The following is a 22,547-nucleotide window of genomic DNA, read 5'->3' on the forward strand; positions in this document are numbered from 1 at the left end:
AGATTGTATTTTTCCTTCATTTATGAAGCTTAGTTGAGCTGGATACAAACTTCTTGGCTGATAATTGTTTTGTTTAAGGAGGCTAAAAATAAGACCCCAATCTGTTTTAGTCTGTAGGGTTTCTTCTGAGAAATCTCCTGTTAATTTGACAGGTTTTCCTTTATAGGCTACTTGATGTTTTTGCCTTACAGCTCTTAAGATTATTTCCTTCATTTTGACTTTAGATAACATGATGGCTACGTGCCTAGGCAATGATCTTTTTGCAATGAATTCCCCAGGTGTTCTTTAATCTTCTTATATTTAGATGTCTAGATCTCTAGCAAGGCTGAGGAAATTTTCCTCCATTATTCCCTCAAATATGTTTTCCAAACTTTTAGATTCCTCTTCTTCCTTGGAACACCAATTATTTTTAGGTTTGGACATTTGACATAGTCCCAAACTTCTTGGAGGCTTTAGTTCATTTTTAAATTATTTTTTCTTTGTCTGTTATGGATTGGGTTAATTCAAAAGCCTTGTCTTTGAGCTCTTAAGTTCTTTCTTCAGAGTTGCACGTAGTCATCAGGTTATCCAAAGTCAAGAAGAAGGAAAGAATTTCAAGAATCTTTCTTGTTCAGTTCTATTGCTGAGACTTTCCAATGCCTTTTTCATTTCTCTAAGTGCATCCTTGATTTCAAGAAGTTGTGATTGTTTTTTATTTATGCTATTTATTTCACTGAAGAATTTTCCTTTCATATCTTGTATCATGTTTTTGATTTAAGTTGGACTTCACCATTCTCTGATGCCTCCTTGATTAGCTTAATCATTGACCTTCTGAATTCTTTTCTGGCAATTCAGAGATTTTTGTCTTGGTTTGGATCCATTGCTGGTGAGCTGGTATGATCTTTTGGGGGCGTTAAATAACCTTTTTTTTTTTTAATCATTTTACCAGAATTGTTTTTCTGGTTCCTTCTCATTTGGGTAGACTAAGTCAGAGGGAAGATCCGGGATTCAAAGGTTGCTGTTCAGATTCTTTTGTCCCATGAGGTGCTCCCTTGATGTGGTTTTCTCCCCCTTCCCCTAGGAATGGGGTTTCCTGAGAGCTGAACCCTAGTGATTGATTTTGCCCTTCTAGGTCTAGCCACCCAGTGGAGCTACAGGGCTCTGGGCTTGTACGGGGGAGTGTCTGCAAAAAGTCCTGTCTTCAGGTCTTGCAGCTATGGATCCCAGCACCTGCTCCAGTAGAGGTAGCAGGGGAGTGAAGTAGACTCTGAGCGTCCTTTGTTATGTTTTTGTTTAGTGTGCTGGTTTTGTGTTGGTTGCCCTCCAGCCAGGAGGTGTTGCTTTCAAAAGCACATCAGCTGCAGTCCTATGGGGGGAATGCAAACTTGCCCTAAGGACACCTTGCTAAGTATTCAGGTTTCTCAGGAGGTGGGCAGGACCACAGAGCTCCCAAGAGATTATGATCTTTGTCTTTGGCTACCAGGGTGGGTAGAGAAAGGCCACCAGGTGGTGGCAGGGATAGGCAGGTCTGAGTTCAGTCTCTCCTTGAGCGTGGCTTGCTGTGGCTGTTGTGGGCGATAGGAGTGTGGTTCCCAGTCTAATGGAGTTATGTTGCCAGGGGGATAACAGCTGCCTCTGCTGAGTCATACAAGTGGCCAGCTAAGCGGGGGAAAGCCAGCAGTCACAGGCCTCACCCTGCTCCCATACAGCCAACAGTCCTAAAAGTCAGTCTCACTTCTACTGTGCCCCGCCCGGCAACAGCACCGAGTCTATTTCCAGGCAGCCAGTGACCAGGGCTGAGAACTTTCCCCAGACCATGAGCCTCCCCATTGAGAAAGCAAGCAGACTCACAGTTTTTTGGCGTCTCAGGGAGACTTCACTGGTGATCCAGTTCCTTCAAATGGTATTTGGATTCTCTTGGCTTTCCTGGTATGTTCCAGTGGTAGTTCTTGGAGCAAAAGTTCACGATGTGAGTCTCCACATGCTGCTCTGTCCATCCGAGCGGGAGCTGCAAGCTAGTCCTGCCTCCTATCTGCCATCTTAATCTGAATCGCTTTTTTGATACAGAGTCGCCAATAGCTGTGTTTTTCTACATAAGCTGTCCTCTGTGCCATGAAGAGTTTTAATGATACAGCATTTCTTTCTTTTTTTTTTTTTTTTTTTTTTTTGAGACGGAGTCTTGCTCTGTCGCTCAGGCTGTCGTGCAGTGGCGTGATCTCGGCTCACTGCAAGCTCTGCCTCCTGGGTTCACGCCATTCTCCCGCCTCAACCTCCCAAGTAGCTGGGACTACAGGTGCCCGCCATCACACTAGGCTAATTTTTTGTATTTTTAGTAGAGCTGGGGTTTCACCGTGTTCGCCAGGATGGTCTCCATCTCCTGACCTCATGATCCGCCTGCCTCTGCCTCCCAAAGTGCTGGGATTACAGGCGTGACCGTGCCCGGCCGATACAGCATTTCTTGAAAGAACCCATGAAAGAGCTAAAGCCAATGGTGCTAAGTTCTTAAGATGGCCCTGTAATTATTGAAGAGTTTGACTTCTTTGACTTCTACTTTAGGAATTGCTATACTCATCTGATTCACTTTTTGCTTCTTTTCTCCCTCACCAAATAACAGTCCCTACGGATGATAAGAGTGCTCCCTGATTGTTCCATGACCTTTCCAGGTGACTGCCACCTGCCCTTCAGACTTTGATGATGGTTTTTTTTGTTGTTTTTTTTTAAGCTTAGGCAATGACAGCTACATAATTGCTGATGTCTAGCCAACAGTGACTATAAAACACTGAATGTAAGACATCTATAAATTTCAGAAGCATTGAAACATCTAAAAATATATAATTTTAGAATTAATTTAAAAATGAGATATGAAGGTGCTCTTTAAACTTAGAAACACAGCTAAATGAGGAGTTATTAATGTGGCCTTGTAACAGCTGTTGTCACCCAGGACTGAGCAGTTGGCGTGTGTATGTATATTGTGCTGAAGTGGCTATGTTGTCTGGGGTATATACCCTGGATTCATCCTCTCATGCCAGGAAAATTTAGGACAGGGACACACGAGGAGTTTAGGAGTGGAGGTTTAACGGACAGAAGAAAAGAGAAAGAAGAAGAGCTCTCTCTATAGAGAGAGGGGTCTTCCGAACGGAAAAGACCATCTGGTAGCGGATGAACCCAATTTTACAGTCTGGCTTGAGGAGACAGTGTCTGATTTGCATAGGGCTCACAGATCGGTTGGATCAGGTTTGACATTTACATAGCGGGGGCGGGGGCGGGAAGGCTGGTCATCCCACCCTAATCTTACTATGCAAGTGAACTCTTCCCTTGGTTGGCGCCCTCTTGTCTGCTCCTTACTGTACACGTGGCTGGCTGAAAAGGGAAGATGGAGCCGCCATCTTGAACATGTCCAGTCCCTAGTTCCTGCCAGCATTCCCCCATGCAAGCTCCCAACTTGCTTGTCTGTGTCTGCAGCTCAACTTTACGGGCTGCTCTTCGTTAGAAAATGATTTGGGGCTGCTTTTCATTAAAAACAAAAGCCTCACTGAGGACTCCCATACCCTATCTGCCTAAGTGATTTCTTTTTAACCCCTATATCAGTGCCATTTTGACCCAGTCATTTTGATGAGTTCATTTTGACCTCATTTGACAATTTTTCATAGCTTTAATCACAGCATTAAATGTTGGAGTGATTTGTATGCTACCAGGAAATGAAAGCAACAGACACCGTCATCATCTCCACCCCCATCCCATCGCTTATCTTGCTCTGGAGTCTGACCTTGTCCATTGCCCCACACTCTCCTGGAGCTTGAGTCTTATCCTGAGGGAAGGTGGAGTGAAGCCCAGACAGGGTCAGGGTGCCTTGATTTAAAAAGCTGCCGTCCGTGGGCAGGTGGGCTTTGGGTATCAGTGGGACTGGGATTGGGGGAGGGCCACTGTCTGGACTCTAAAAGGGAACATTTACATTTAGGGTTAGAAAGAGTATGACAACCATGATTGACAAGACAGAGCATTGGTGGCTGAACCAAGATCAAGTACTAAACTGTATTAGTGTCTTCTCACACTGCTATAAACAAATACCTGTGGCTGGGTAATTTATTTTAAAAAAAGGAGAGAGAGAGATTTAATTGGCCCACAGGTCCACAGGCTGTACAGGAAGCATGGTGCTGGCATCTGCTCAACTTCTGGGAAGGCCTTAGGAAACTTTCAGTCATGGCAGAAGACAAAGGGGAAGCAGGCACGTCTTACATGACTGGAGCAGGAGGAAGAGAGGGAGTGGGGAGGTGCCACACACTTTAAAATGACCAGATCTCATGAGAACTCTATCATAAGAACAGCACCAATGAGATGGTGCTAAACTGCTCATGAAGGTTCCACTCTCCCATGACACAGTCACCTCCCACCAGGCCCCACCTCCAACATTGGGGATTACAGTGTGACATGGGATTTGGGTGGGGACACAAATCCAAATCAAATCAGTTAGCATTAGCCAAGAACACGTGGGGAATTCAAAGAGTTAAACAAATCAAGTCCCAGGCAGCACTAATTATCTGAGTACAATGATCAGCACATCTGGGTTGAAGACCTTCTATATACTTCCTCCCAGGGCAAGTACTGGATAGGGGATGGGCTGGCCCAAGTCTAAAGAAATGAATAGTAGATGAACTATAGCTGAAAGAGGTGAAGAGAACTGGGCCCGTGGTGGAGTCTGATTACTCCTGGTACACATGCAAGGCTGACACAGGCTCCGATACACTTTGAGCATCTTCATGCAAAGCAGAGTTCTTTCTCTGGCTCTCAGAAGGATTTTCTGATTATTTTCCATGGTCTTTCCCTGGAGTTGCCATGACTATCCTCAGTGGGACAGCTTAATTCCAGGTGTAGAAACAACAATAGATGCAGTTTCATCCAAAGTTGTTGAACCCAAGAAAAGATGATGACAACTCAAAACAAAAATGAAAGTTTCTTTAAGGCATGGCCACCTCACAGTCACACTCACAGCTGGAGTTTCCTGCTAACGTGACCCTTGAGTCTTTGGAGGTCCGGGCCAACTGACAAAACAATTTGTTCATGATGGTGGCTCAGTGACAAAGAGGAAATCGCTCATGGACTGCTGGGGCAGCCAAACCTGTCCAAAGAACACAGCTTTGTGGTACTGTAGCCACAGGGAACTACTGGGCGAGGAATTCTTTTATTTTCCACAGTGAGTGATCCAAAGATGACAAGCTCTGCAGGAAATCCTGGGTCCTATATACCTATATATATCCCCACCGCTGGTCCTATTCAGTCCTAATCAAGGACCATATCATCAATGAGCTTATCCACAATGACAAAGAAGAAAAACAAAACCCAGGTTGCAAACCCCTGCACACAACTTGCTTTTGACAGCACATCCCAGCGTTCTCCAGGAAAGAGGAAGCTATGGAAATGTTTAGTACAAGTAGCAGCAGGGCAGAGAGCTGCGGGAAGCCTGGCGTTGAAGGAATTGTTTTTATTTTTATTACTTAGTTGAGTTCATTTTGGTTACCTTTTTGGGCTGGTCAAAAAGTAAAGTTTTTGATTGGTAAGTCAATTTTTTTTTAGAAGTCAAAGAACACACACTATAATGAGGCCACATAATTAAGCAGTTTCTAATTTCCAATAAAATAAACTAAATTTATGGGCAGAAATTATCAAAGGCTTATCTACTTCACACAAGGCCAGAATAACTTCCATGACTTTATTAATGATTTCTTAGATATTATTCCCTCTTGCTGATGGGATGGTAACTTCTTTGAATGTATTATATGACACAGACCATCTTAGCAGACTGCAGTGAGGGATTATCCTGCTAGCCTTGAAGGAGGGAACTGTTGTGTGGGGAGGGGACCATGTGGCAGGGATCTATGGGTGGCTTCTGGAAGCTCAGAGTGGCCCCCAGCTGACAGCCAGTGAGAAAATGGAGACCTCAGTCCTACAATCTCAAAGAATTGAGGCCAGGCATTGTGGCTCAAGCCTGTAATCCCAGCACTTTGGGAGGCCGAAGTGGGCAGATCACCTGAGGTCAGAAGTTCAAGACCAGCCTGGCCAATATGGTGAAACCTCGTCTCTACTAAAAATACAAAAATTAGCTGGGCGTGGTGGCAGGCATCTATAATCCCAGCTACTTGGGAGGCTGATGCAGGAGAATAGCTTGAACCCGGGAGGCAGATGTTGAAGTGAACCGGAATTATGCCACTGCACTCCAACCTTGGTGACAGAGTGAGACTTCATCTCAAAAAAAAAAAAAAAAAATCAAAACCAAAAAACCCTCAATGTTATGTGAGCTTGGAAGAGGACCCGGAGCTCCAGAAAGGAATGTAAGGCCACTGATCCCTTGATTGCAATATTTCTCTGCTACCAATGCAGCAATGAACCACCTGATACATGCATGCATTTCTTTTTTTTTTTTTTTTTTTTTTTTTTAAGAGATAGGGTCTTGCTGTCTCTCCTAGGCTGGAGTACAGTGCTGTGATCATAGCTCACTACAGTCTCAATCTCCTGGGCTCTAGTGATCTTACCTTCTCAGCCTCCTATGTAACTGGAACCACAGGCCCATGTCACCATGCCTGGCTAATTTTTAAATTTTTTGTAGCAGTGAGATCTTGCTATGTCACCCAGGCTGGTCTCAAACTCCTGGCCTCAAGCTATCCTCTCCCTTCACCACCCAAATTGCTGGGATTACAGGCATGAGCCACCACATCCAGCCTACATGCATGGATTCCTCAAGGGCAGAGTATACAAAGTGGATATTGTTAATGAACATTTCCAGTTGCCCTTCATGGCTGTACCAATTTACACTACTGGTACAGGAATGTACCATGACCAAGCATGACCAACCATGTTTGGGAATGTCCAGTCCTCCACCTCTTACCAGCGCTTGATATGAACATATCTCTAATTACTAATGAAGTTGAGCTTCTTTCTTATATTTCTTGGCCATTTGGTTTTCCTCTTCTGTGAAATGCCTTTTTATATCTTTTGCCCATTTTTCTATAGGGTTATTTATCCTTTTTTAAGTTGATTCATAGACATCATTTTGTAAATCCTGAATAGTAATCCTTTTCCTATTGTATAGATTGCAAATATGTCATATTCGAAATCTGTAACTCATACTTTTTCTAAAACTTGTTTATGATTTTTCTGACATACAGCTTTTAATTGTTTATATGTAGTCACATTTATTAATGTTTATGTGTTTTGATTTGGTGCTTTATTTTATTTTGCTAGTCCTTCCTACCCCAAGATTGTAAAAAATATTATTCTATATTTTCTTACAATATTTTAATAGATTTGTTCTAATGTCTTCACTTTCATTCCATATGGAGTTGATTTAGAGTCATCCACTCTTCTACTTACCCCAAGCTGAAGTCCAACCTTATCATCGCTCCTGATATTGTGTTGGGCAAGGTCCCAGTGATTTCTACATTGCTGAATCAAAAAGACACTTTTAAAGCCAGGTGCAGTGGCTCACACCCGTAATGCCAATACTTGGGAAGCTGAGGCAGGTGAGGCAGGAGCATCACTTGAGTCCAGGAGTTCAAGACCAGCCTACACAATACAGTGAGACTCTCTCTCCAAAAATATTTTTTAAAAAAACGTTCTGCAGCCTCATGCTATTTTTTTTTTTAATTTCTCAATAGCATTTGTCAGCAATGAGCACATCATTTGTTTTTTAAAACCCTTTCTTGGCCCCTGGGACAGCATATTGTTCTAGCTTTCTGATATGGTTTGTCTTTGTGCCCCCACCCAAATCTCATCTTGAATTGTAATCCCCAGGTATTGAGGGAGGGACATGGTGGAAGGTGATTGGGTCATGGGGGTGGATTCCCCCTTGCTGTTCCCGTGATAGTGAGGGAGTTCTCTCCAGATCTGATGGTTTTATAAGGGGCTCCTCCCCTTTGCTTACTTCACTCACTCTCTTTTGCCTCCTGCCATGTAAGACGTGCCTTTTCCCCTTCCACCACAATTGTAAGTTTCCTGAGGCCTCCCCAGCAATGAGGAATTGTGAGTCAATTTAACCTCTTTTCTTTAAAAATTACCCAGTCTCAGGTATGTCTTTGTAGCATTGTGAAAACAGACTAATTCACTTTCCCTTCATCTCTCTGGCCACCTTGGTCCCTTTTATTATCTTTATTGAGTCATCTTCCTCTTTCTAATCTCTAAGTGTGGGTATTTCTCAAGGTTTGGTTCTGAGCTATCTTCTCTGTCTCTCCCTTGGGGAATCCAAGCCTTACATAATCTCTATAATGATGTCTTCATTACATCTCTAGCCTAGATGTCTTTCCCAAGTTACAGTTTTGTACATTCTGATACTCACCTAACATTTCTCTTTGGATAATCTACAGCCATCTCAACTGAACAACTTAACATGTTCAAGAAGGAAGCCTGGATTCTCAGACTGTATTCCAAACCTGTTCTCTCTCTTTGTCACTCCTGTGGCCCAGACCATACACGTACACATCATCCTTGGGTGTTTCTTTTTCCTTTCTTCTTGTTTTTTTCCCCCATATCCAATTTGTCATCAGTCCTGTCAACTTTATCTACCAAATATTCCCTGATTGGCTCTGCTGCCCTCTGCCTCCACTTCCCCTCCTCGTCCAGGCTGCTGTTGTCTCTCACTCACTCCTCTGCATGGCCTCCCTGCTTTCATTCACTCTCCACACAGCCCTGGTCTCCTTTCAAAAAGTGGGTCGCTTTAAGCTTCTCAGTGGCTTCCTGTTGTCCTTAGAACAATCCAGACTTCTTCCTGGGGGCTCTAAGACCTGGTGTGACCCAGACTCTGATGCTCCAACCCCATGTGGGGCCACCCTCCACCTTGCTCTCCTGTCTCCTTCAAATCTCTGAACAAACCCAGTTCTTCACCACTTCAGGGATATATTAGTTCCCTAGGGCTGCTGTTACTAATTACCACAAACTTGGTAGCTTAAAACAACAGAAGTCTATTCCCTCACAGTTCTAGAGGCCAGAAATTCAAAACCAAGTAGCTTACAGATGAGAAACTCAGGTTTAAAAAAGGGCACATAGGTGATTTCTCAAAGAGCTGAAAACGGAACTACCTTTGACCCAGCAATACTGGGTATATACCCAGAGGAATATAAATCATTCTGTCATAAAGACACAAGCATGCATATGTTGACTGCAGCACTATTCACAATAGCAAAGACAGGGATCAACCTAAATGCCCATCAATGGCCGACTGGATAAAGAAAATGTGGTACATATGCACCATGGAATACTATGCAGCCATAAAAAAGAATGAGATCATGTCCTTTGCAGGGACATGGATGGAGCTGGAGGTCATTATCCTTAGCAAACTAATGCAGGAACAGAAAACCAAATACCACATGTTCTCACTTGTAAGTGGGAGCTCAATGATGAGAACATATGGGCACATAGAGGGCAATGACAGACACTGGAGCCTGCTTACCTGTGAGTTAAGAGTGGGAGGAGGTAGAGGATCAGGAAAAATAACTACTGCATATTAGGCTTATTACCTGGGCAATTAAATAATCTCTAAAACAGACTACTATGACATGAGTTTACCTATATAACAAACCTGCATATGTATCCCTGAACCTAAAGTAAAAGTTTTCAAAAGAAAAAAGAGAAAAAGAAAAGGGTCACACAGCTTCAAGAACCACTCCCTGTTTTCTGCCTACACAACTAAATGTTCACAATAAGATACTTTTTGGTAACAACAAATCACTGTCACAAGAAGAAAGACCAGAGAGCATCTTTGTCGCATAGAGTCATTCAGTGGAGCAACTGGACTAGAAGCAGGTTCTGAAAAGCTCTATTATTATGGATATGGACTAGACTATGGGAATAACTAAAATGCACTGTCTCTAGGTTTTTTACATTCATATTTATACAAAAGAAGAATCTGAGCTCTAGAAGACTGGGCTGATGAGATGAATTGTCTCCCGTGAGAAAAATTTCCCTAGACATGTTTGAACATACAGTTCTGTGTTTCACTCTGAGTTTTGTCTGTTCCTGAGGTTTTTAAATCGACCAAAGAGAGGACTTAGGACTCTTTGTGACTCTGCCAATAAAACACCGCGGGGCTCCACCTTCCTCCAGCCAAGTGCTGGGCCACATTTGCACTTCAGTCTCCCTGTGACTGCTTTGAAAGGGCCTGCTTTTCCTCTCAGAGGCTTTTGGGATCTGGGCAGACACACACCCTGAAGTTATCTCCTCTTAAGCATATAAACCAGGGATTATCTTATCTCGGTAAGCACAGTGATCTTAGAAGGACAGCCACTCACCTCCCAGAAGAGTTGGAAAGTCTCCAGGGAGCAAGGGAAGCCATTCTAGGCTGGAGCCTCCTGGAGAAGTTTCAGGTCACCCCAAACCATTGTGCATACAGGGGCCTTCACCAGAAAGGGCCTTTAGAAGCCAGTTCCACTTTTTCCTGAAGCAGAAGAGTGGGCACGGGCGAAAGCATCTTTCACCGCACATAACTGGAAAACAGGAGTCCCTGGTTGCCTCGGCTCCAGTGCAGCCCCCACCTTTCTTGTTTGTTTGTTTGTTTGTTTTTCCAGAAGACAAAAGCATAGATTTATTGAAGCAAAGTATACTCCACAGATCAGGAGCAGGCTTGAGCAAGCAGCTCGAGAGCCGTAGCTGCAAATCTTCTGGGGTTTAAGTACTCGTTAGAGGTTTCCTATTGGTTACACCCTATATAAATGAAGACTTGGCCCACAACCAGTCGGAGGCTGAAGTGAAGGCTCAGCCTGCAACCAATCAGAGGCTGAAGTTGCATCCTACGCAAAAGAAGACTTGGCCCATGACCAATCAGAGGCTGAAGTGAAGGCTCCCTGTCTCCAGACCCTACTCTCCTGCCTAAAAATGGGTCAAAACTCAAAGGGTTGGAAAGAACATATCGTTGAAAAAAAAAAAAAAAAAGAAGTCTCCCTCCTACCCTTGTTCCTTTCCTTGGAGGCAACCAGTATCAGATTTCTATGTATCCTTCCCAGATACTTTGCACCTGTGCTTTAAATAGGTATCCTTAGGGGACACATTTAGTGGGTAGGGACAGTCAACCTCTCTACTTTTGCTTCTGGCAATAATTATTTGATTTTAATATCTATCACTGGAGTCTTACTAAATTCATGCACTCTACATTATTTCTCTGGAGTCTTTTGGTTTTTGTTGATGAAAACAGAGTTAAAAGGTTTTTTGTCACTAAAATGATCTGTGTAAATAGGGAAGTAATGATTTCAAACTATAGTTCCGGGTTTTTTTTTTTTTTTTTTTTGAGAAAAGATGATTTTGGCGTGAGGAGTTTGTCAGTGTCTAACAATTCTTTCCTATATTTTTCCTGAAGGCACTTGACTTTGGCAGATATTGAGAGAATAGCCCCATTGGCTGAGGGGGCCTTACCTTATAACCTGGCAGAACTTCAGAGAAAGGTATAAGTAGTCTCATAAATATGATCACCTTAAAAAATGCTGAACTAGTAGCCTAAATAGGAGCTGACAGCTTCTGAATGCTGTAAAAATTAAAAATTACTTTTCAGATAAAGACTTTACTTAGCTTAAAGATTACCTTTATATATATATATATATATTTTTTTTTTGAGATGGAGTCTGGCTCTGTTGCCCAGGCTGGAGTGCAATGGCATGATCTCGGCTCACTGCAACCTCTGCCTTCTGGGTTCAAGAGATTCTCCTGCCTCAGCCTCCCAAGTAACTGGGATTACAGGCATGCGCCATCACAACTGGCTAATTTTTGTATTTTTAGTAGAGACAAGGTTTTGCCATGTTGGACAGGCTGGTCTCGAACTCGTGACCTCAGGTGATCCACCCATCTCGGCCTCCCAAAGTGCTGGGATTACAGGCATGAGCCACCACGCCCAGCCTATAGAATATTTTTATGAGATAACTAGATTTATGTTTGTGTTTTGTGTCTTGTTTTGTTCAGATAAGGAAAATAAGAGTTCAAACATACATGGGTTTGATCCCCTTCCCCTTAGAATTAGCATTCTTTTCATTTGCCTCATGACATTTAAAGATTAGTGTTAGGTTTACCTTGTATCATTAAACTGATATTTAAGGGTTTCTAAAATAAAAAAAAAACTTCCCTCAAATGAAATTGAGAGGTGACAGCGTGCTGGCAGTCCTCACAGCCCTCGCTTGCTCTCGGCGCCTCCTCTGCCTGGGCTCCCACTTTGGCGGCACTTGAGGAGCCCTTCAGCCCGCCACTGCACTGTGGGAGCCCCTTTCTGGGCTGGCCAAGGCCGGAGCCGGCTCCCTCAGCTTGCCAGGAGGTGTGGAGGGAGAGGCGCCGGCGGGAACTGGGGCTGCGTGAGGTGCTTGCCGGCCAGCGCGAGTTCTGGGTGGGTGTGGGCTCTGCGGACCCCACACTCGGAGCTGCTGGCCGACCCCACTGACCCTGGGCAGTGAGGGGCTTAGCACCTGGGCCAGCAGCGGCTGTGCTCAATTTCTCGCCAGGCCTTAGCTGCCTTCCCGCGGGGCAGGGCTCCGGACCTGCAGCCCACCATGCCTGAGCCTCCCCGCCCCTCCGTGGGCTCCTGTGCGGCAGGAGCCTCCCCTACGAGCGCCGCCCCCTGCTCCACGGTGCCCAATCCCATCGACCACCCAAGGGCTGAGGAGTGCAGGTGCATGGCACGGGACTGGCAGGCAGCTCCACCTGCAGCCCCTGTGCGGGATCCACTGGGTGAAGCCAGCTGGGCTCCTGAGTCTGGTGGGGTCGTGGAGAACCTTTATGTCTAGCTAAGGGATTGTAAATACACCAATCGGCACTCTGTATCTAGCTCACGGTTTGTAAACACACCAATCAGCACCCTGTGTCTAGCTCAGGATTTGTGAATGCACCAATCGACACTCTGTATCTAGCTACTCTGGTGGGGACTTGGAGAACCTTTGTGTCCATACTCTGTATCTAGCTAATCTAGTGGGGACGTGGAGAACCTTTGTGTCTAGCTCAGGGATTGTAAACGCACCAATCAACGCCCTGTCAAAACAGACCACTCTGCTTTACCGATCAGCAGGATGTGGGTGGGGCCAGATAAGAGAATAAAAACATGCTGCGGGAGCTAGCAGTGGCAACCCGCTCGGGTCCCCTTTCACACTGTGGAAGCTTTGTTCTTTCTCTCTTTGCAATAAATCTTGCTGCTGCTCACTCTTTGGGTCCACACTGCCTTTATGAGCTGTAACACTCACCATGAAGGTCTGCAGCTTCACTCCTGAAGCCAGCGAGACCACGAACCCACCGGGAGGAACGAACAACTCCAGACGCGCCGCTTTAAGAGCTGTAACACTCACCGGGAAGGTCTGCAGCTTCACTCCTGAGCCAGCAAGACCACGAACCCACCGGAAGGAAGAAACTCCCAACACATCCGAACATCAGAAGGAACAAACCCCGGACAGGCCGCCTTGAAGAACTGTAACACTGACCGCGAGGGTCTGCGGCTTCATTCTTGAAGTTAGTGAGACCAAGAACCCACCAATTCCGGGCACAAAATAAATCATTCACTGGGATTGTGCCTTACAGATTATAGCCAGGAAAAAAAAAAGCAATTAGTGAAACCAGAAGGAAAACCTTGACTGTTATTACATTTTTGATAAATATTAGTTTTGGTTTTTATAAATGTTAAGAATGATTAAAACAGTAGCTTCTGAGTCCTATAAAATTAATACAGTCCCATTTCTGAATTTACAAATACTATCTTGGTAACCTTTCATGCTTGCAGGGGAGAAGAGCCTCGAGTCCTGCAGGGAGCCACACGAAGGTCTCTGTTTCATGCCAGTCTTCCAAATGCCCTATGAGAAGCTGGCAGCCCACATTTTCACCTGCTTTTTAATTTTGTTTTTATTTATTTAGTTTTTAGAGACAGGGTCTTACTCTTGCCCAGGCTCAAAACCCAGCTCATGCAGCCTCCAACTCCCGGGCTCGAGTGATTCACTCACCTCACCCTCTCAAGTAGCTGGGACCACAGGCACACGCCACCACACCCAGTAGTTTTTTAATTTTTATCTAGAGATGGGATCTCACTGTGTTGCCGAGGCTGGTCTTAAACTCCTGGCCTCAAGAAATTCTCCTGCCTCGGACTGGGATTACAGGCATGAGCCACCACTCCTGGCCTCATCGGCATTTTAGATGTTTACTTTTCAAACTTCCATCTCCTACCTTCTGCCCGGAGACTAGGTCCCTTGGGTCCCTAACTGGTTCGCTGGTTGATGTCTCACACACAATGAGTCCAGTGGGTGGGGGGAATTTTAGTGAGCAAAATTAAGCCTATTTATTTATTTATTTATTTTTGAGACGGACTTTTGCTCTTGTCGCCCAAGATGGAGTGCAATGGCATGATCTTGGCTCACTGCAACCTCTGCCTCCAGGGTTCAAGCTATTCTCCTGCCTCAGCCTCCCCAGTAGCTGGGATTACAGGCGCCTATCCCACACCCAACTAATTTTTGTATTTTTAGTAGATACGGGGTTTCACCATGTTGGCCAGGCTGGTCTCAAACACCTGACCTCGTTATCTACCCGCCTCAGCCTCCCAGAGTGCTGGGATTACAGGCATGAGCCACCGTACCTGGCCTAAGCCTTGCTTTACTGCAGGGCTTGTCCAACCTCATAACGGACTAATTTATATTTTACAGCTCTGAGAGAAGGTGTGGTGTACAGAACTTCCAAAACATACATGAGATAGAGCACGCCCGTTGCTAGTGATACCAAGGACACAATTTGGAAAGCATTGCACCACGCCATACACCTCTTCTGTCCTCAGGACAGTGGGAAAATGGTGAAGATAATAGTCACTGCGTGTCTGTATGTGCAAGAGCTATGCCATGCCTTTTGCAGGCATTACCACGTATGTAAGCTCCCAACAACCTGGCAAGCTAGGCGTCATCAACCCTTCCCCTTAGATGTGAGAGGAAGTCATTTGCAGCCACTGCAAGGTTCAAACACTGGAAGCGTCCAAACATCAAACCGCACTAAGAGGACATCTGTATGATTATCCATTCAAGAAATCGGGCCATTGTACTCAGCGAGGAACAATCCGCGATGGTGTGTGGTGCGTGGCAGTGGTGCACTCTGCTTCTGGCCAGTGAGGTCATGGTGGCTTTGACCATGAGATAGGGATGGCGTGGGGGCAGGGGGCATCCATGGATGCGTCACAAATAACTCAGTCAGAGGATACTTTGTGCTGTGCAAATCTCAGAAATTCATGGAACAAAGGTCATTTATAATTGAATAGGAGTTACTGTAGATCCATGGGCTGGAGGAGACATCCCAGAAAGAAAGGCATGGTGAGATGGTGAGAACCACCAGTGCCCTCAGCACGGAGGGACCCACGTAAGGCATTAAAAGAAGGGAGGAGGCAGGTGAATTTCTGGTTTTTTTTGGAGAGAGAACTGATAAACTGTATCCTTGTTTTTTTGTTTTTGTTTTTGACAGGAACATTTATTTATTTAGTTATTTTTTATTTTCAGAGATAAGGTCTAACTCTGTCACCCAGGTTGGAGTGCAGTGGCGCAATCACAGCTCACTGCAGTCTCAAACTCTTTGGTTCAAGAGATCCTCCCACCTCAGCCCAGCAAGTAGTTGGGACTATGAGTGCATGCCACTATGCTCAGCTAATTTTTGTATTTCATTTTTTGTAGAGATGGCATGTTGCTATGTTGCCCAGGACGGCCTCGAACTCCTGGGTTTGAGTGATCCTCCTGCTTCAGCCTCCCGAAGAGTGAAGATTACAGGCCTAGGTGCTTTTTTTTTTTTTTTTTTTTGAAGACAATGTCTCTCTCTGTTGCCTAGGCTGGAGCTCAGTGGTGCAGTTTTGGCTCACTGCAGCCTCACCCTACTCCCCGGGCTCAAGTGATCCTCCTCCCTCAGTCACCTGAGTAGCTGGGACTACAGGCACGCACCACCATGCTCAGCTAACTTTTTTTCGGTATTTTTGGTAGAGACAGGGTTTTTCGATGTTGTCCAGGCTGGTTTCAAACAGCTATCCACCCACCTCAGCCTCCCAAAGTGCTGGGATTACAGGCATGAGCCATCGCGCCCGGCCCTATGTCCTCTTTCTGCTCCAGGATCTCACCCAGGAGACTGCATAGCATTTAGTCATCATGTCTCCTTAGGCTCTTCTTGACTGTGATGGTTATTTAGATTTTCCTCGTTTTCAATGACTTTGACAGCTTTGAGGAGTACAGGTCAAGTATTTTAAGGAATGCTCTTCAATTTGGCTTAGTTTGACGTTTTTCCTGTGGACAGAGGTTATGGGTTTGGAGGAGGAAGACGAAAGAGGTAAAGTGCTGTTCTCATCACATCATTTCAAAGGCACGTGCCATCAACTCCATTTATATGGCTGTTGACCTTGATCACCTGGGTAAGGTAGAGCTCATCAGTTTCCCATCTGTGAAGTTACTCTCCCCTACCTCCTTTTCCTCCTATACTCTGGAAGTCCCCCTGCATGACTCACACTTAAGGCATGGAAAGTTAGGCTCTTCCCCCTTTAGAAGAGTCTATCTACTTATTTGAAACTTTTCTGCGTGGGAGATGTGTTTATACTCTCCCATTTATTTATTTATTTATTTATTTATTTATTTTCAATACAGAGTCTTGCTCTGTTGTCCAGGGTGGAGTGCAGTGGCATAATTTCAGCTCACTACAACCTCTGCCTCCCGGGTTCAAGAAATTCTCCTGCCTCAGCCTCCTGAGTAGCTGGGATTACAGGCACACACCACCACGCCGGGCTGATTTTCATATTTTTAGTAGAGACGGGGTTTCACCATATTGGCCAGGCTGGTCTCGAACTCCTGACCTCATGATCTGCCCACCTCGACCTCCCAAAGTGCTGGGATTACAGGCTTGAGCCACCACACCCGGCCTCCCTTTTTTAAAAAAAATTTGATCATGAATGTATATCAGCATGGGCTTGTGGACATTTATGTTATACTTTGTATAAATATTTATAAATACCAGTATGTTAATTATTTTGTTGCTTAAAGTACATCAGCTTTGGCGCTTGCGAGCTCCTTCAGTTGGCTCCAGTGTCTTCACTCCATGCACGTGTTTTGTTCATGTGTTTGTTTGTTGCAGGGGTGGGGGGTGTTTATTGCTTTTGTTTTGGTTTTGAGCCCATTCTTACTTTCTGGCACTATAAGATGTTGGCTCTTCTTGTATATTCTCTAGAAACAGCCATTTCTTCAAGACACCCTGGTCCCTTCTATCAGAGAATGGTGTTAGAAACCACAATCTAGGTGCTGGGTGTGTGTGTTGTTACTGGGTAGTCATTCCTTCTAGGCTCACTCAGCAGACGGCAAAGAAATATGTGTGTATACTAACCCACGTAGGTAGCCATCTGTATCTAAATTAAGCTAAACATGAGTTCACATTGATGGCTCCAACTCTAACTTGGCACTGCATGGATTATTCCAGCCTTCTCTCTCTGTCTCTCTTTTTTTTCTTTAATAGAGATGGGATCTTGCTATGGTGCCTAGGCTGGTCTTGAACTCCTGGGCTCAAGCAGTCTACCTGCCTCAGTCTCCCAGTGTGCTGTAATTACATATGTGAGCCACTGCACCTGGCCCTCCAGCTTGCTCTTCTTGCTTGTCTGTAACCCTGCAATCCAACAGTAAGACACCTGACTCCTGCAACCTGCAATACATTACTTCATTGTTCAAGTCCAGTAGACTTGACTTAGTAACTAGACTAGCGGATTTGAAATTGTGAAACCATAACCCCATCGCAGCAATCTTACCAGCCAAAGTATAATGCTGGCTGGGCACAGTGGCTCACGCCTGTAATCCCAGCACTTTGGGAGGCCAAGGCGGGTGGATCACAAGGTCAGGAGATGGAGACCATGGTGAAACCCCGTCTCTACTAAAAATACAAAAAATTAGCCAGGCGCAGTGGTGGGCACCTGTAGTCCCAGCTACTCAGGAGGCTGAGGCAGGAGAATGGCATGAACCCGGGAGGCGGAGCTTGCAGTGAGCCGAGATTGTGCCACTGCACTCCAGCCTGGGTGACAGAGCAAGACTCGGTCTCAAAAAAAAAAAAAAAAAAAAAAAGTACAATGCTGATGGGCACTCAGTGCATTTTCCCACTGGTCCTAGAGTCGGCATTCGTTCCCCAAGTGACTTCACCTAATCAGCACCTTCTCTCCCCACCTCCTCTAGTGAGGGTGTATCCTATGTTTGTAATGCAGTCCGTCTTTTGTCCTAGTCTTCATTCCATCCTGGGATCCTCTAGCTTCCTAAATAATTTTTTAATTTGCATAGATTAAGGTTAACTCTTTCTGTGGTAATGTTCTATGGGTTTTGACAAATGCATCATGTAATAGACCCAACATTATAGAATAGTTTCACCATCCTAAAAAATTCCTTATGCTTCACCTATTTTAACCTCTCCTTGTATTTTTGTGTTTTTCCATTTTCAAGTAAGCAGATATTTTATACAAATAATGATACATAGGTAATTAGAAACCAGTGTAATCCTTAATTGCTTTATACAATATATTTATAATAAATAAAACGTTTTTCAAAATAATAATATTATAAACTGTGTTTATTTTGTACCTTACACACCTTATATCCCATGTTAGGTATAATAATGGACAGGCTAAATCTTCATTATTGAGACATTGTGCTCTTTTGGAGTAGAGATAACTAAAATTACAGAAATATCACTATTCTAGATGAGGTCAGGACCTGGCCCCTGTGGCGAGTGGCAGAGTCAGTGTTTAAATATGGTTCAACTTTCCAGCCTTTCAGAACTGTCATAAATCTAGCGGCTGAAAATCTTAGCAAGGACCTTCTTTTGCATGCAGCCAACTTTTGCCCCACTCTATTTTCTTTTAAAGTCTAAATCATGTTTATTTGCAAACTCACAGTTTTGCAACAAAGGTAACATGATGCCACTCTGCACCCAAGATTGGAGCAAAATGCAAAAAATAATTGATTTACCCCCTTGCTTGTAGTCAATTGCTATTTTTCATTGACTACAGTTTTATGGTCTCGAGAGCGAATCTCATGGCGGTTAAACTTTTATGACTTACATTAATTCAGTGTCCTTGGCTGTCATGTTTCTCAACTTGCTGTCAAGCCACAGAAATATATTTTTAGGATATTTCTAAGGGAAGCAGTGTGGAGACTTAGACAAAATTTGTGGCAAGATTTCTTGAGAAACTAAAGCAGGTGGCTTCACACACACACGTGCGCATGCATGCACACACACACATGCACACACACACACTGCCTTGCATGTAAGAGGACAGGCTGGGTGCGGTGGCTCATGCCTGCAATCCCAGCACTTTGGGAGGCCGAGATGGGTGGATCACCTGAGGTCAGGAGTTTGAGACCAGCCTGGCCAACATGGTGAAACCCTGTCTCTACTAAAAATACAAAAATTAGCTGGGCGTGGTGGGCAGCACCTATGATCCCAGCCACTCGGGAGGCTGAAGCAGGAGAATCGCTTGAACCAGGGAGGCGGAGGTTGCAGTGAACTGAGATCACGCCACTGCACTCCAGCCTGGGCGAAAGAGCAAGACTCTGTCTAAAAAAAAAAAAAGAAAAAAGAAAAAAAAAACAGATGAGTCCTTTGGGAAAGGCAGGCGTATCACAAAAAATTCCTTTGCACATACCTTGTAATTCCAAGGCTTGAGTTTCTGCTTTTGGTGTTATTTCTGGCTCCATCCTTGGCATGGTGCAAGAAAAGGCATGATACCAGAGAAAAGGGAAGGCAGGAAACTCGGAGGGAGGGAAGGAGAAAGTGGGTAGGAGAAAAGGGAGAGAATGAGGCAGAAAGTGAAAGGAAAGGAGGATGGAAATGGAGTGAGGAAGGATGAGGGGCCAGGAGAGAGGAAGATGATTTCCTAAGCACTTGCTGTGTTTCAGGTCATAGGCTACTTATTTGACCTCCATGTTCTCACTTATTCCCAATGGCTACGCATCAGGTGAGAATTCTACCACTGAACTATCCATGCCTCCTTATGGCTGTGTGACAAAGAGGATGACCGAAGTGACACCAGTGATGTCAAACAAGGAAGGGGAGACAATGATGGAGTGGATCAAAAAACCAAGTAAGGGCCGTGGTGGCTCACGCTTGTAATCCCAGCACTTTGGGAGGCTAAGGTGGGTGGATCACCTGAGGTCAGGAGTTCCAGACGAGCCTGACCAATATGATGAAACCCTGTCTCTACTAAAAATACAAAAATTAGCCCGGTGTGGTGGCATGCGCCTATAATCCCAGCTACTTGGGAGGCTGAGACAGGAGAATCACTAGAACCTGCCAGGAGGCAGAGGTTGCAGTGAGCTGAGATCGCACCATTGCACTCCAGCCTGGACAACAAGAGCAAGCTCCATCTCAAAAAAAAAAAAAGCAAGTCAGAAGCAAGACTTTCATCATACGGCAAATTGTTTCTCCCAATGTGACTTTTTTTTCACTTAATCTGTTTAAAATTTTCTGCCTCTAACACACCCGCTCCTGATCATAGATAATAAATGTGGTGTAACCTTATTCTTGCATTATGAGTCATGAACCCTGGATAATATCAGGGCCCTGGGCTCTTTTGTCTTCAGAGGCCTTTCCTCCATTAAAAAAAAATTAAAATTATATTTTAAGGTTATGTTTGTATAAAGATAAATATATCAACAATATATATTAGAACATTTTCTCCTCTGACTTTAAAAGAAAGTAAAACATTTTGTGGGTGTCTGAAAGTATTGTGAGCCCTAAACTCTGTCCCCACCGTGCCTAATGAGCCATTGGCTCTGACAATACTCTTTATCAATTGATAAGTGAGTGTAGCTTGCATGTGTCACCAAGTGGTGACTGAGTCCTGATGCCTGGAGTGGAGGATCAATGCTGTGTGTGACCGGGGGGGTCACTTTTATAGTGCTAAGCGCCAGTGGTTGAATTCAACTGATCTTCATTCACTAGGTCTTTTCTCAAATGTCAGCGGAACATATATACACGTTTTTTTTTAATTAAAAAAAAAATAGAGATGGGGTCTCGCTGTGTTGCCCAAGCTGGTCTTGAACTCCTGGGCTCAGGCAATTTTCCCATGTCGGTCTCCCAAAGTGCTGGAATTACAGGCGTGAACCACCATACCCAGCCTATGTGCACATTTTAATTAAAAAGTTCTATGAAAGCAAGCACTTGGGTGAATGAAGAGGGAATGAGTTTACTTAGAAAGAGTTTTGCACGTGGTTACTGCAGCCTCGCTCCATCCTGTGCATGTTTCTGTCCCATAAAACAACTGCCTGGAGAATAGCAAAGTGACCTGGAGCTGATAAGGTATCAAGGAACAGAGACTTGTCATTCTCTCCTCTGTGAAGATTCTGAGGGCATGAGCACTTGAAGAAAAATAACAGATAATACAAGATAAGATAAAAGAAAAAGCAAATTCCAAAGACTCTTCTTCCTGTAAATTAAATACTATTCTTAGGGTCTTTCACAATTTTTAGTATTTGTTATGATAGTCTGCAGAACAAAATAAGGTGTTTATTACGAAATCGATCTATCATCTGAATATAGCGTTTGCATTTCTGAAAATCAAATCACCAGAGAAGTTCACAAAGGAACCTCAGGATGAATTATTTTTTAGAGTAACAAACATCTTCTAGAATGTAGCCCTTCTGTAGGCTGGGGGAGTGGATTGGAACGTGAAAAGTGGGTTTCCTAAAAAAGTAGACACTGCGGGAGGTATAGCAGAAGGCATTTATTTTGCATTTGGGTTGCATTTTTCTAAACGACTTCTTCCAGATTTTTGCGTGACTCATGCCTTATCTTTGAGGTCTTAGCTTAATATTTTCCCCTAGGATGAAAACTTTGCTGACCACCCTATAGTTCTCTATGCCACTGTCCTATTTCATTTTCCTAATAGTACATGTGATCATCTGAAGCAGTTCAACACTTGTTGATTGCTGGTGGGTTCACTTGTTTGTTATTTATCTTCCACTACTAGAATGTAAGCTCCATGAGAGCAGACAACATATAGGTTTTATTCACTGTTGAATTTTCAGCATCTAGAACGGTGCTGGCATGTGTTTGTTGAATGACTGATTGAATGAATGAATGAACTCCAAGTGCCCTCCAGAGAACCCTGGAACCAGATATGGGAATATCTCTTGGAAGTAACTAGGAGATGTTAACTGGATCACTGTGTGTTAGAGCTGGAGGGTCCTGGACTGTCATCTGACCCACTCACACGTTTTGCCGATGAAGATGATGTAGTGGCACAGAGAGGTAAGAATTGCCCAAGGCAGAACCACGCAGAGGTTCACGGGGCCCCAGCTGTTTCCAATTCCTGAAGCAGGCCTCAAACCACAATTTCAAAATAAAGGCATATGAAAATCAAACAGGGTACCCACCAAAGTCATCTTCTCTAAGATAAATAAGTCTGTCTCCTCTCACGCAGCTGATATTAATCAAGGCGAGACTATCCGAACACCCAAAAACAAACAAGCAGTTCTCTCTCTTTAAGCTTTCAGCCCAAGCCAAGGAGCTTCTCACTCTCATTTCCTCTCCTTGCTTCCCGCTGTCCCTGACTCAAGGTGATACAAATGAAAAGACCTGAATTTATTAGGAGTTTA

The 22,547-nt window shown here is 44.3% G+C and overlaps 4 annotated features.

Annotated features, from left to right (window-relative positions):
• Positions 1,432–1,481: an enhancer, noted in NCBI's record as "active region_3200". NCBI's record gives its function as "activates an Ori minimal core promoter by ATAC-STARR-seq in GM12878 lymphoblastoid cells {active_cell/tissue: GM12878}" and the evidence as "EXISTENCE:reporter gene assay evidence [ECO:0000049][PMID:35858748]".
• Positions 5,004–5,063: a silencer, noted in NCBI's record as "silent region_2264". NCBI's record gives its function as "represses an Ori minimal core promoter by ATAC-STARR-seq in GM12878 lymphoblastoid cells {active_cell/tissue: GM12878}" and the evidence as "EXISTENCE:reporter gene assay evidence [ECO:0000049][PMID:35858748]".
• Positions 10,109–10,158: an enhancer, noted in NCBI's record as "active region_3201". NCBI's record gives its function as "activates an Ori minimal core promoter by ATAC-STARR-seq in GM12878 lymphoblastoid cells {active_cell/tissue: GM12878}" and the evidence as "EXISTENCE:reporter gene assay evidence [ECO:0000049][PMID:35858748]".
• Positions 12,341–12,840: an enhancer, noted in NCBI's record as "H3K4me1 hESC enhancer chr10:30451859-30452358 (GRCh37/hg19 assembly coordinates)". NCBI's record gives its function as "activates a minimal SCP1, AML or CMV promoter by ChIP-STARR-seq in primed H9 embryonic stem cells {active_cell/tissue: H9 hESC(primed)}" and the evidence as "EXISTENCE:reporter gene assay evidence [ECO:0000049][PMID:30033119]".

The sequence above is a fragment of the Homo sapiens genome, chromosome 10 (assembly GCF_000001405.40).
Source record: "Homo sapiens chromosome 10, GRCh38.p14 Primary Assembly".
Taxonomy (NCBI): Eukaryota; Metazoa; Chordata; class Mammalia; order Primates; family Hominidae; genus Homo; species Homo sapiens.